The sequence below is a fragment of the Homo sapiens genome, chromosome 6, assembly GCF_000001405.40.
Source record: "Homo sapiens chromosome 6, GRCh38.p14 Primary Assembly".
Lineage (NCBI taxonomy): Eukaryota > Metazoa > Chordata > Mammalia > Primates > Hominidae > Homo > Homo sapiens.
In genome coordinates this window covers 28404910-28418380 of record NC_000006.12, presented here as the reverse complement: position 1 = coordinate 28418380, position 13471 = coordinate 28404910, and the positions used below count along the sequence as shown (strand labels likewise).

At 39.0% G+C, this 13471-nt stretch overlaps 2 pseudogenes, besides 2 other annotated features; one reads left to right on the top strand and one right to left on the bottom strand.

Moving 5' to 3' along the window:
* Positions 973 to 1473: an enhancer, noted in NCBI's record as "H3K4me1 hESC enhancer chr6:28384685-28385185 (GRCh37/hg19 assembly coordinates)". NCBI's record gives its function as "activates a minimal SCP1, AML or CMV promoter by ChIP-STARR-seq in naive H9 embryonic stem cells {active_cell/tissue: H9 hESC(naive)}" and the evidence as "EXISTENCE:reporter gene assay evidence [ECO:0000049][PMID:30033119]".
* Positions 1474 to 1974: an enhancer, noted in NCBI's record as "H3K4me1 hESC enhancer chr6:28384184-28384684 (GRCh37/hg19 assembly coordinates)". NCBI's record gives its function as "activates a minimal SCP1, AML or CMV promoter by ChIP-STARR-seq in naive H9 embryonic stem cells {active_cell/tissue: H9 hESC(naive)}" and the evidence as "EXISTENCE:reporter gene assay evidence [ECO:0000049][PMID:30033119]".
* RNU2-45P (RNA, U2 small nuclear 45, pseudogene) lies at positions 7925 to 8111 on the bottom strand (annotated as a pseudogene).
* On the top strand, positions 9131 to 10156 carry ZNF968P (zinc finger protein 968, pseudogene; annotated as a pseudogene).

Sequence of the window (13471 nt, the reverse complement as noted above, 5' to 3'; positions counted from 1 at the left end):
TCCAGATGTGGTGGCTCATGCCTGTAATCCCAGCTACTTCGAAGGCTGATGTGGGAGGGTCGCTTAAGGTCAGGAGTTAGAGGCTGCAGTGAGCTACATTTGTGCTGCTGCACTCCAGCCTGGGTGACAGAGTGAGATCCTGTATCTAAAAATAAATAAATAAATTGGCCGGGCATGGTGGCTCATGCCTGTAATCCCAGCACTTTGGGAGGCCAAGGCAGGCAGATCACAAGGTCAGGAGATTGAGACCATCCTGGCTAACACGGTGAAACCCCGTCTCTACTAAAAATACAAAAAATTAGCTGGGTGTGGTGGCGGGCACCTGTAGTCCCAGCTACTCGGCAGGCTGAGGCAGGAGAATGGCGTGAACCCGGGAGGCAGAGCTTGCAGTGAGCCGAGATGGCTCCACTGCACTCTAGCCTGGGAGACAGAGTGAAACTCTATCTCAAAAAAATAAATAAATAAATAAATTATGGATATCCCATTCTCCATTATGTGCTTATTTCACATTGCATGCCTGTATCAAAAGATCTCATGTACCTTATAAATATATATACCTACAGTGTACTCACAAAAATTAAAAAATTAAAAATAAATAACATAATCATACAGTGTTTCACAACTTGAAGTCAACTTCACAGGGGTCTTACTGTGTTGCCTAGGCTGATCTCAAACTCCTGCCTCAAACTATCCACCCATTTTGGCTTCCCAAAATGCTGGGATTACAGGCATGAGCCACTGCACCTGGCCTTAATATTCTTTATCATGAATATAATCTGTATTCTTATGTGAATGCAAAATAATAAATGGGAAGCTCTGGAGAAATAATTTGTCTTTTATCTTTGATACTCAAAATCACTTAGTAAGAAATTTTCCTGAATGGTCATCAGTATAAATTCCTCCAGAGGCATTTGTTTATTCCTCAGTCTAGTTTTGAAATGAAACCAGAAGAAGGTAAATAATACACAGCTATAAAGAAGTGAAGCTGGTCTGACTCCAGAGTCTGCATTCTTTACCATTATACCACCTCACACTTCTAACAGCCTTGAAGAAATATTTTTACATATATTACCTTTTGATTCACATAGTCACCCTATGAAGTTGTCAGGACCAGTTATTCCCGTTTTGCTGATAGGAAGTTGAGACAGTTAAAAACAAAATATGTACGTACATACCCAATGCTAGGAAGCAAATTAATAAATACTAGGGCTCTGTATCCCAGTCCATTGTTCTTTCCACTAGATGTCCATGGACTTCAATATCAGAAGCCCCCAGATTAAGATGATCTGGCTCCTATGTAAACTTTATCTTAGCCGGGCGCGGTGGCTCAAGCCTGTAATCCCAGCACTTTGGAAGGCCAAGGCGGGTGGATCACGAGGTCAGGAGACCGAGACCATCCCTAACACGGTGAAACCCCGTCTCTACTAAAAATACAAAAAAATTAGCCGGGCGCGGTGGCAGGCGCCTGTAGTCCCAGCTATTCGGGAGGCTGGGGCAGGAGAATGGCGTGAACCCGGGAGGCGGAGCTTGCAGTGAGCCGAGATCGCGCCACTGCACTCTAGCCTGGGCGACAGAGCGAGACTCCGTCTCAAAAAAAAAAAAAAAAAAAACAACTTTATCTTAAAGCAATTGTTTTCCCTTTCAGGAGTTGCACAGGGAAGAAAATTATCTCTTACAAGCCCTCAGAAGTGCTTCCTTCTTAAGCTTTTAGCCTCCAACTCTTAGAAAAATTGTTACATTTTCAGCAATTGTTCCAAGTGTCATGAATTCACAACTGAACGTAGAGTTTTTAAAAATTACCTAGCCTACCTACTAGTTATCTGCGTAGGAAAACAGCTTACTTGGATGCTATCTTTAATCATAAGCATGAACAAGATGATTGTTTACTATCTTTCTTCAATAGGTTTAGACTCTTTACTCAAAGTGGTCAGAAGATCAGCAGCCTTGGCATCACCCCAGACCAACTGAATCAGAATCTGCATTTTAACAAGATCCCCAGTTGATTGTTATATACCTTAAACCTTGGAAAACACTGCTCAGCCCTATTTTCCAGATTTCCCCATGAAAAACCTCACAAATATACTGTTTTTAATTGCCAAAAGTATGTGAACTATTGAACAAAACCTCTTAGGTTGGTTAAAGAACAAATAAATTGTTCTATTTCATGAAACTTTTTTTGAGGCACAGGGAGAAAAAGTTTATCAAGTTAGTTCCCAATAACAAACGTGCCTAGCACTAAAACCTATTGTGAACAATTTGGAATTTACATCTTTATCGTTTTTTCTAAAGCTTATAAAATGTTTTCAGATGTTCTCCATTAATCATTACAACTCTGTGAACTAGTTATTGTCTGTTTTCTACAGATAAAGAGGCTAAGAAAGGTAAAGATTTATTTAATGTTAGAAAGTAATAAGCCAGAGAACTGGTTTAAGTTCAGTGGATTCCAGGTCAGTGTTCTGCAGTCCAGATCAAACAATTCAGCAGCGTCTATAAATTCCTAGAACATAGGCTGTGAGCAACTGAAGACATGTAAAAAAAGTTGAGTGCCTATTGTATGCACAATACTACGCAAAATGCAATAATATCTTGCTAAATTTTGAAAGCAATGTGAATTGGGTATTTCAAAGCCATGAAGGAGGGGCACCAAATAATTTGGTTTCTCTTGCCATTTAAAGTGGATTTTTCCTCCCAGAATCATGAGAGTGTATACATTTTACCTACTGAGTGAACACTGATAAGTAGCACAGGAAGTTGAACTTTTGTTTTATTTAATCAGTTACTGACTAGAATAAAGTGATTGATTTATGATTAAATTGACTAATTTCTATTCATATTTGAGTATTTCTGTATCTCCCAAGTTGTTTTATTAGTTGTGCATTTCAAAGTTCTTGTTAATTGATGAAAACGTTTTGCCTTCTAGAGTAATTCTCCAAACTACCACTTTTCCTGTTACTTCCACACCTAATTAGGTACTACTCATTTGAGTTAAATGAAAATGATTTGAACACCTATGTGTAGTACAATGTAAGCTGCTACAGGATTGCAAAGATAAACATGGTGTCATGCCTGCATTTCAGGAAATCTAAGTTATAGTATATGAGAGTCAATATTAATAATTACATTTGCTTTGAAAGTCCTTTCAATTATATTAACTAATCCGATCTGTCATGACAGTGCATTGGTAGTTATATCTCCTAGCCTAGGAGTAGGTCTCAGTCTATGCCACGTGGGATGACTGAAAAAGGACTGGAAAATCCGCAGTCTTACTGGTTTGAAGAACCAAAGGACAGAGTTTAGGGGATCCCAGCAACTGTAAAGGGAGTGGGGTGGGAATCCTAGGAAGGCAAAAAACAGATAAGGGCAGCCCCAAGTTCTATATATAAAATCCACCCAAATTTCCCCATGGTTCCTGAACCATGCATCACAGAGTAGATTTCAAGTAGTTCAGCTATGGCTAAAATGTCAACTTAGGTTTCAGTTGCCATCCAGTACGGGAGTGACAATTTAAAGTTATCTACCTGCGGCCAGTCGCGGTGGCTCACGCCTATAATCCCAGCACTTTGGGAGGCCGAGGCGGGCGGATCACCTGGGTCAGGAGTTCGAGACCAGCCTGGCCAACATGGTGAAACCCTGTTTCTACTAAAACTACAAAAATTAGCCAGGTGCCTGTAATCCCAGCTACTCAGGAGGCTGAGGCAGGAGAACAGCTTGAACCCGGGAGGCAGAGGTTGTGGTGAGCTGAGATTACACCACTGCACTCCAGCCTGGGAAACAAGAGCAAGACTCCGTCTCAAAAAATAAATAAATAAATAAATAATAAAGTTATCTACTGCTTAAAAATACAAAACTCAATACTTTGGAAGAACATAACAGAATCCAGAGAGCCTACAACATAGTCCCTTTTCCAGGGCTGCATCCAAAATTAGTTTATTAAAATTAGTAAATTGTGGTTAATTTTCAAGAGAAAGTAGAAACCACCCATAAGATGACCAAGTTTTAACATGTGAAGTGTAAAAATCCACATGGAAACTTATGTTTCTGAAATCCTTAGGTGACAAATATATTGAGCACATATTGGATGCCATCATCTCATTATTAATCCCTTTTAGATTAGGGAATCCCTTTCCTCAAGGAATACACATTCTAGGGACAGAGAACCGACAAACACAGAAGTATTGATAATTTTAGGTACTGATAAATGCTATAAAGAAAATAAAATAGGATGTTGTCATGGTGACTGGAGTGTGGTTAAAGGCTACTCTACCGTAATCAGGAAAGGCCTCTATTAAGAGCTTAATAATTGACTGTATACTGTTTTTAAACCTCACAAATTTATTTTTTTAATGTTCCCAGACAATGATAAGCAAGTTTATTTTTTAACCTACAGACACTTTAAGCATATTAAAGGCCTATAAAAGGCCTTTAAAAATCAGCACAATCATTGGCTTTCAAACTGTTCTCCAGAACCTTAGGTGACTCCTCAGATGTTACTTGGCAGTCAGCCATGGGCAGGATCAGGTCAGTCAAGCAGGGTTCTGGCATCCAGCCCCCTTTGCTTCACCTGAGAAAAGGCTCTGCTTTATTTTTAGGAATTTATTCAAATTCCTAAAACTGGTTTTTGCCAAATGCAGTAGCTCACACCTGTGATCCTGGCATTTTGGGAGGCCAAGACAGAAGGATCACTTGAGTCTAGAAGTTCTAGACCAGTGTTGCAACATAGTAAGACCTCGTCTCTAAAGAAAATTTAAAAATTAGCTGGTCATGGTGGCGCATGTCTATAGTCCCAGCTACTCTGCAGGTTTAGGTGGGATCACTGGAGCCCAGAAGGTGAGGCTGCAGTAAGCTGTGATCGTACCACTGCACTCCAGCCTGGGTGACAGAGCAAATTCCTATTTAAAAAAAAAAGAAAAAAGAAAAAAGAAAAAAAAAATTCCTTTTACTGGTCTGTAAAAAGGAAGGGGGAATGGGATTAAAATCTAATGGCCTAATTTCTTGTTTCATAGGTTACAAAATAGACGCAGAGTTTATGTTACTTGCTCGAGGTCAATTTTTTAGTTGGAGACAAAATGAGGCCAAAATAATTGAGACCCCAGTCTGGTGCATATTCCTTGGCAACCCTGTCTCCATATTTATCAACCATGGCTAGTGAGTCTTCTCATTTTTGAGCCTGATTGGGTTTCTATTGTCTTTTTTTTTTTTTTTTTTTTTTTTTTTTTTAAAGACGGAGTCTTACTCTCTCACCCAGGCTGGAGTGCAGTCGAGCAATCTCTGCTCACTGCAACCTCCATCTCCCAGGTTCAAGTGATCCTCCTGCCTCAGCCTCCCAAGTAGCTGGGATTACAGGCAAGTACCAGCATGCCCAGCTAATTTTTGTATTTTTAGTAGAGACACGGTTTCACCCATGTTGGCTAGGCTGGTCTCAAACTCCGAGGCCACCCAAAGTGCTGGGATACAGGCATGAGCCACAGCACCCAGCCAGGTTTCCATTGCCTTTCATATATTATTTCACTTCCTTTTCCTTAAAAATTCCTTATTTCGGTGAAATTACTACTTTTTTAAAAAAAATTTGCTTTATCAGAATGTATACTGCTGCTATGGTCTGAATGTTTGTGTGTCCCCAGAATTCATATATTGAAACCTAATCAGTCATCACTGTGATGGTATTAGGAAGTGAGGCCCTTTGGAGATACCCTCTTATATAAGATTAGTGCCCTTATAAAAAAATGGCCACAGAGAGCTGCCATACCCTTCCACTGTGTGACGACATAGCAAGAAGTCACCATCATTGACCCTCACCAGACACCAGATCTGCTGGTGCCTTCATCTTGTACTTCTCAACTTCCAGAACTGTGAGAAATAAATGTTTGTTGTTTATACATCACCGAGTTTATGGTGTTTTTGTTATAATATACTGAACAGATTAAGACACATGTACACTTTTTTCTCTCTTCCTTTTTTTAAGAGACAGGGTCTCACTCTGTTGCCCAGGCTGGAGTGCAGCAGTGCAACCATAGCTCATTGCAGCTTCAGACTCCTGAGTTCAAGGCTCAAGGGATCCTCCCACCTCAGCCTCCTGAGTAGCTAAAACTACAGACATGTGTCAACATGCCCAGCTAACTTTTAAATTTTTTGTAGAGACAGGATCTGACTATATTGCCCAGGCTGGTTTTGAACTCCTGGCCTCAAACGATCCTCCCTCCTTGGCCTCCCAAAGTACTCAGACTATAGGCATGAGCCACCACACCCAGCCACATGTATACTTTGCTTTCATTCCTCCTTTCCTTCCTCCTTTCTTTCTTCCTTTTTCAACTGAACCATCTAAAAGCAAGTTGTATGCAATCCCATTTACAATAGATACAAAAAAATAAAATACCTAGGAATATATCTAACCAAGCTTCAAAGACCTCTACAAAAAGAACTACAAAACACTGCTGAAAGAAATCATAGATGACACAAACAAAGGGAAAAGCATTTCCTGCTCATGGATTGGAAGAGTCAATATCACTAAAATGACCATACTGGACAAAGCAATCTATAGATTCAACACTATTCCTATCAAATTACCAATGTCATTTTCACACAATTAGAAAAAACTATTCTAAAATTCATATGGAACCAAAAATAACCCAAATAGCCAAAGCAACCTTAAGCAAAAAGAGCAAACCTGAGGGCATCACATTAGTTGACTTCAAACTATGCTGTAAGACTACAGTAACCAAACGGTACTGATACAAAAACAGACGCAGAGACCAATGGATCAAAATAGCCCAGAAATAAGGCTGCATACCTACAGTCAATTGATCTTTGACAAAGAACAAAAACAAGCAACAGGGAAAGGGGCTCCCTATTCAATAAATGGTGCTGAGATAGCTGGCCAGCCATATGCAGAAGAATGAAACTGGATTCCTACCTTTCACCATATAGAAAAATTAACTCAAGATGGATTAAAGATTTAAAAGTAAGACCACAAACTATAAGAATCCTAGAAAAGCATGAACCCGGGAGGCAGAGCTTGCAGTGAGCCAAGATTGCACCACTGCACTCCAGCCTGGGTGACACAGCGAGACTCCATCTCAAAAAAAAAAAAAAAAAAAAAAATCCTAGAAGAAAACCTAGGAAATGGCATTCTGGACATCAGCCTTGGGAAAGAATTTATGATAAAGTCCTTAAAAGCAATCTCAACAAAAATGAAAATTGATAAGTGGGACCTAATTAAACTAAAAAGCTTCTTCACAGTAAAAGAAATTATTAACAGGTAAATAGACTACAAAATGAAAAAAAAATACTTGCAATCTGCATCCAGCAAAGATCTGATATCCAGAATTTATAAGGAAAACAAACAATTCAACATGCAAAAAACAACCCCATTAAAAAATGGGCAAATCACATGAACAGACGCATCTCAAAAGAAGACATACAAGCATCCAACAAACATATGAAAAAATGTGCAACATCACTAATCATCAGAGAAGTGCAAATAAAAACCACAATGAGAACCATCTTACACCAGTCAGAATGGTTGTTATTAAAAAGTCAAACAATAAGAGATGCTGGTGAGGCTGAGGAGAAAAAGGAATGCTTATACACAGTTCGGCCACTGTGGAAAGCAGTTTGGCGACTTCTCAAAGAACTACCATTCAACCCAGCAATCCCACTACTGGGTTATGTACCCAGAGGAAAATAAAGCATTCTACCAAAAATATATATGCACTTACATGTTCATCACAGCACTATACACAATAGCAAAAATGGAAGTAAAGGCTCCCCCATGTACCCCATGCTCCATGGAATCAACCTAGATGGCCATCAGTGGTGGAATAAAGAAAATGTGGCAAATATACACTGTGGAATACAGGTAGGCGCCACCACGCCTGGCTAATTTTTTTGTATTTTTTGTAGAGACGAGGTCTCGCTATATTGCCCAGGTTGGTCTCGAACTCCTGGGTTCAAGCGATCTGCCCACCATGGCCTCCCAAAGGGCTAGGATTACAGGAATGAACCACTGCCCCTGGCCAAATTACATATTCTTTATGTTTTTTATACATTTAAATAAATGTGTAAATGTTTTTATACATTTACACTTGATCTTAGCCAAAAGGCCGAGAAGCAATGTTTTTATACATTTAAATAAATGTGTACATGTTTTTATACATTTAAATAAATGTGTACATGTTTTTATACATTTAAATAAATGCCAAAACCACAGTATACTTTTATTGGACATATTTAACTTCCTTTCTTATACTAAGTAGCAGAGAAGGATCTATTTAAGAAGTCTTAGATAAAAAGAGACTCCAGGGCACCATCAGTTGTTGACTTAGGATAATAAGTATCCCAAATGGAGCAAGACTTCCACTAAACCTTGACTTGCTTATTTCTAGAGTGTCTCTGTCACATACTCTCATATTTACTGTGATCCCCTTTTTATGGTTGTCCATTATTAGTGAGTATAAATCAACCTCAGAATCATCATCTTTAACGGTCCTTTCCTGCTCCTTACCACTGGCTACTTTTCCAAAGATTTTATACACTTAGTCCATATTTCTACACTTACCCATATGCATCACTTTACCACTGCAAAAGTTTCAGACAATGTCTCCTTACTCTCAAATATTGTCCCTTCTACACATCTTGATTGGCTTCCTATTGTGCTTTGCATTTTTTCAGTGACCTTCATCAGTCTTCTTGCTAACTACTTCCCTCTCCTACATGCAGAAGCCCTGTTACCCTCATCCTAAAATACTTGCCTCATAAATCTGAATTGTACTCATTGAATTTATGTTCTTCCTTGGATAGTTCGTCTATTTGTAGCTTCAGATGGTGATTCTAGAAACAAATACAGAAATATGTGTCCAAAGCAAGAAACATGAAGAAAGGGAACCACATAGGGAACTATCTGGCAGACCCAAAGGAAAATTTTGCAGAATCTCAAGGAGCAGTTAGGTACACTCCACGATTAAGAAACAAGTCAAACTCAATGACTCCAAAACGAACGTTATCCAGAATTTAGTACATAATCAGCATCAGAGGCTCATCTGAACACAGAAAGTCTTGCAGCATGGGGTACATGGGGGAGCCTTTACTCCAAATACAGACCTCGCTGAGCAGCAAAGAAAGCAAACTCTGAGCCCACCCACTGTTATGTGAAGAGTGTGGGAAGACCCTTAGATCAAAAAATGGCCTTATTCGTCAAGTGGGAATCCAGGTGGAAAGAAAAACCCTGTAATGTGATGGGTGTGGAAAAACTGTTAAAGATCAGTTTTTAGTCGACATTGGAGACTTAATACAAGTGAAAAACACTTGTTGAAAAGGCTTTACTCAGAATGCAAGAGTTTTTGATGATCTTGAAAAACATTCGGAAGAGAAATGCTTTGGCTGGAATCAGTGTAGTAAAACCTTGATTCATCGGTCTGCCTTGATTCAGCATCAGGTAGTTTATATAGCAGAGAAAACTTGTAAGTGCCATGACGGCAGAAAAGCTTCTGTACACAACTTATCCCTCTTCAGGAGATCCACTAGATGAAAACATTCTTTAAATGTATTCAGTGTTAGCCTTCAGTTAGAGAGCAGGCCACACTCAGCAGCAGAGATCCACTACGAAGATCCATTATGAGGTCCTATTTGCAGGATTTCTCCTGCGAATAGGACCGGCATGGGCAACCCAACATCTGTACTAAGAATGCTCACTCAGAGGAGAAAGAAGATACCCAGTAGGAAAGTGAGAGTCACAATGGAGGCCTTCCTGGAAATGATTTTCTGAAAAACAAGCTCTGTGAGCATAATGAGATTGAGACTAGTGACTCAGTAAAAGTCTTGTGAAACATCAGAACATACACTCTTCAAGGGAGAAATACCTCGAAGGTACTGACTGTGGGAAGCACTTAAGCCCAGGGTTTACTGAACTTTAGAAAACTTATGCAGGAGACCAATCCTACAATCTTCATTTTACATGAAGAATGTAAAAAGACTTTAAGTGCAAATGGTAGCTGTATTAGACATTTTTTTAAAAAAACACACTGGAGAGAGGCCCTACAAATGTAATGAATGTCAGAAAGCATCCTGCCAGTTGTTAGCCCTTAACCAGCACCAGTTTTTCCATGCTGGAGAGGAGCACTGTTATTGCAATGAGTGTGGCGAACATTTCAGAACACAGGCCTGTTTTACCATCTCTGAGTACAAACTGGAGGAAAACCCTTTTCAGTGTAAACTATGTAGTAAGTTTAGTAAACTATCTTTTAATTTGAGACTATCATAAAACAGCATAGTAAACAATATTGATTAAACATCAGGACAGATTTTATGATTGCTTTTAAAGTGGGAAATCTGCCTTTACTGTAAATACCTTATTTATCTCCCAGATTATTGACAAAGAAATGGAATAAACTGGTGTCAGACATCAAAGCAAGTTGTCTATATTATTGTAAATTCCATTTATTGTGAATGTATTATAACTAGGTACTAGTAGTAGAAGATACTTCACACATGGAAATTTTTTAGAGGTGAGGCAACTGAAGCTCAATGGAGTGGTCGTGTGCTCAAGGTCACTGTGACATATTTCACAAATGCTGTCTTGACCCAGTTTGTAAGTTATGGCTAACAAATCTTCAATTCCCCTTTGCAGATAGTTTGCTAACCCCTATCCCAGTCTCTTTACTTATTGGTCCTCCACTCTCTGAAGCCACTGTGCACACACCACAGCTGCCTCCCTTATTAGGGCCTCATTCTCTGAGGACAGGTACTAGACAACTAGGGACAGCCCCTATGACCCAGAGGCTATGAAATTAACCAGTCCACATGGAGCCCCTGAAACCGAGCTAACTCCACCTCCTTGCCATATATACACTGCCTTCTGCAACTCCAGCTTGCCGTTACTCTGTCCCTGGGTCCAACTCTGTGTAGCCCTGCATGGCAGCTTCTCTCTTTTGGAGTTGTAAGTAACAAAGTTCTAATTTTCATCATCAGTATGTTGTGTCCCTTCATCAACCAATCTTTAAATTTTATAAAACAGTCACTCGGTTATTAAGTGCCAGAAGTGAGGTTCAGACCTATATCAAAATCTCTTAGATTCAGACTCTTTCTCTTAAATTGATGCTCTGCTTCTGTGTCACACTGACTCTCTCCTCGTGCTATCAAAATTACCTACTGTTGCAGCTCCCAACAGTGTTTCTTTTAGTGTTTGTGGAAGATATAGATTGCAGCCTTCCTCTTTTCCTTTATTCATACTCATATTCTTAATGCTTTGATTCAATCCTAGATGGAACTCAACAGTCTTCAATGTGGGAGTAATTTCCTACAGGGTCTCTAAGAGGTCATACAAAAATATCAGTTTTATCAAAAGATCAAAGTCTATGTTACACATACACACACACGCAGCAGATATTGTAGATGGGCCATGATATCTTAGTGATCTGTGAATTTCAAAACCTAAGGACCTGTAACTCAGAGGACAATCTAGCCCTCCCAAAGAAACCATTTGTATTAAACAACAGAACTGCCTAGATGATGCTTCTAGGATAGGTACATTTTACTATTTTGTTAATATGTTCATATTGTTCACCTTGGGTATTGTTCGCCTTGGGCAGTAGCATCCGCATTTTGACAAATACTCAAAATGTTAATTTTCCTTTTTCGGGGATGGAGTCTCATTCTGTCACCCAGGCTGCAGTGCAGTGGTGCAGTCATGGCTTACTGCAAGCCTCAACTTCCTGGCCTCAAGTGATCTTATCACCTCGGCCTCCCAAAGTGCTGGGATTACAGGCATGCACCACTGCCCTTTAATTTTTCTTTTGCTGTTGTCTTTTTCTTCTCTCTTTTTTTTTAAAACATGAAAACTGCCAACATGCTGTTGTCTTTTTCTTTAATCAAAGTTAGATAGGCTTATAATTTTTATCGACCACTTTGCACTGAAAGGTTTATAATATTTAAAAAATCAAACAGCAAACCAGGTTTTATGATGAAAAGCAGCAGACCTACTTTATCATTTGACACACTCCCTGGTAGTCCTGAGGGGTACCTTTTCTATCTCTGGTTCTCCTAATGGTCACCTCCATATCACTAAGCAATTTAGTTCTATTACTTGTTGTTGTTAATTTTGTTTATTTACTCTTAACACTGCCTATTGAATATTTGCTATGTTCAATTAGAACTTAAGTCACAATCTTCAATATATGATTATGTTACTATTCTCAGTTTCTACTTTTGTCTCCTTGGGATGAAGGGCAGCTTAAATTTTTACTCACTTTTTACTTTTTTACTCACTCACTTTTTAAAACAAGGTTTTATTCAATTTATGCCCAGTTATATGGCTCAGTATCTGCTTACCAGCATGGACCTATTGAAATAGTTTTCAGACTTCTTCTCAATCTGTCGCACATTTCTTAAAGGTAGATGAGAGATGACCAGCAAAAAACAAATGGTATCAATGGTTCATCAATTAGATACAATTTGATTTTTTTTAAACAGCTAGTTATGGACTCTCCCATTAGAGCTGTAGATAGGAAACAAAACATTCTATTATATCCATGTGAACCCTGAAAGTTCTTCCTTTATTGACATATTTACCTGTGTTCTTAACTATATGCTTTCTCTGAAGTACCTGTTTTCTCAACTATATACTTTCTGAAGCTCACAGAATTCACATCACAAAACTTTGTTTTGCTTTTGGCTTCTGTTTTCAAATCTGTAAATGAAATACTTCCTTTATTATCACTAATGATGATTTAGAGTTAAGAAATTAGTTTTTTGTTTTGTTTTGTTTTGTTTTGTTTTTGAGATGGAGTCTCACTCTGTCGCCCAGGCTGGAGTGCAGTGGCGTGATCTTGGCTCACTGCAACCTCCGCCTCCCAGGTTCAAGCAGTTCTCCTGCCTCAGCCTCCCAAGTAGCTGGAATTACAGGTGCCCACCACCATGCCCAGCTAATTTTTGTATTTTTAGTAGAGACAGGGTTTTACCATATTGGCCAGGCTGGTCTTGAACTCCTGACCTCAGGTGATCCTCCCCTGTCAGCCTCCTAAAGTGCTGGGATTACACGCATGAGCCACCACGCCTGGCCAGAAATTAGTATTTTTTAATAAATATGAGAATTTAAAATTTGGCAATATGTTAAATGTTTATATATTGAGTTTAAATACTAACATTTTTCCAGGTGAGAAATATGGATTTAAAATACAAAAATGTGATTTGACAACAACTGTTTTAGTATAGTTACCACAGGATCCCACAGTTTGATTTTTTAAAAAGGTTTCAGGTCTAACCCTGATTTGGTTTAGTGTCTAATGTGATTAAGAAATTGGTTAGTAACAAGAAATGGGGAAAGGATTCCCTATTTAATAAATGGTGCTGGGAAAACTGGCTAGCCATATGTAGAAAGCTGAAACTGGATCCCTTCCTTACACCTTATACAAAAATTAATTCAAGATGGATTAAACACTTAAATGTTAGACCTAAAACTATAAAAACCCTAGAAGAAAAC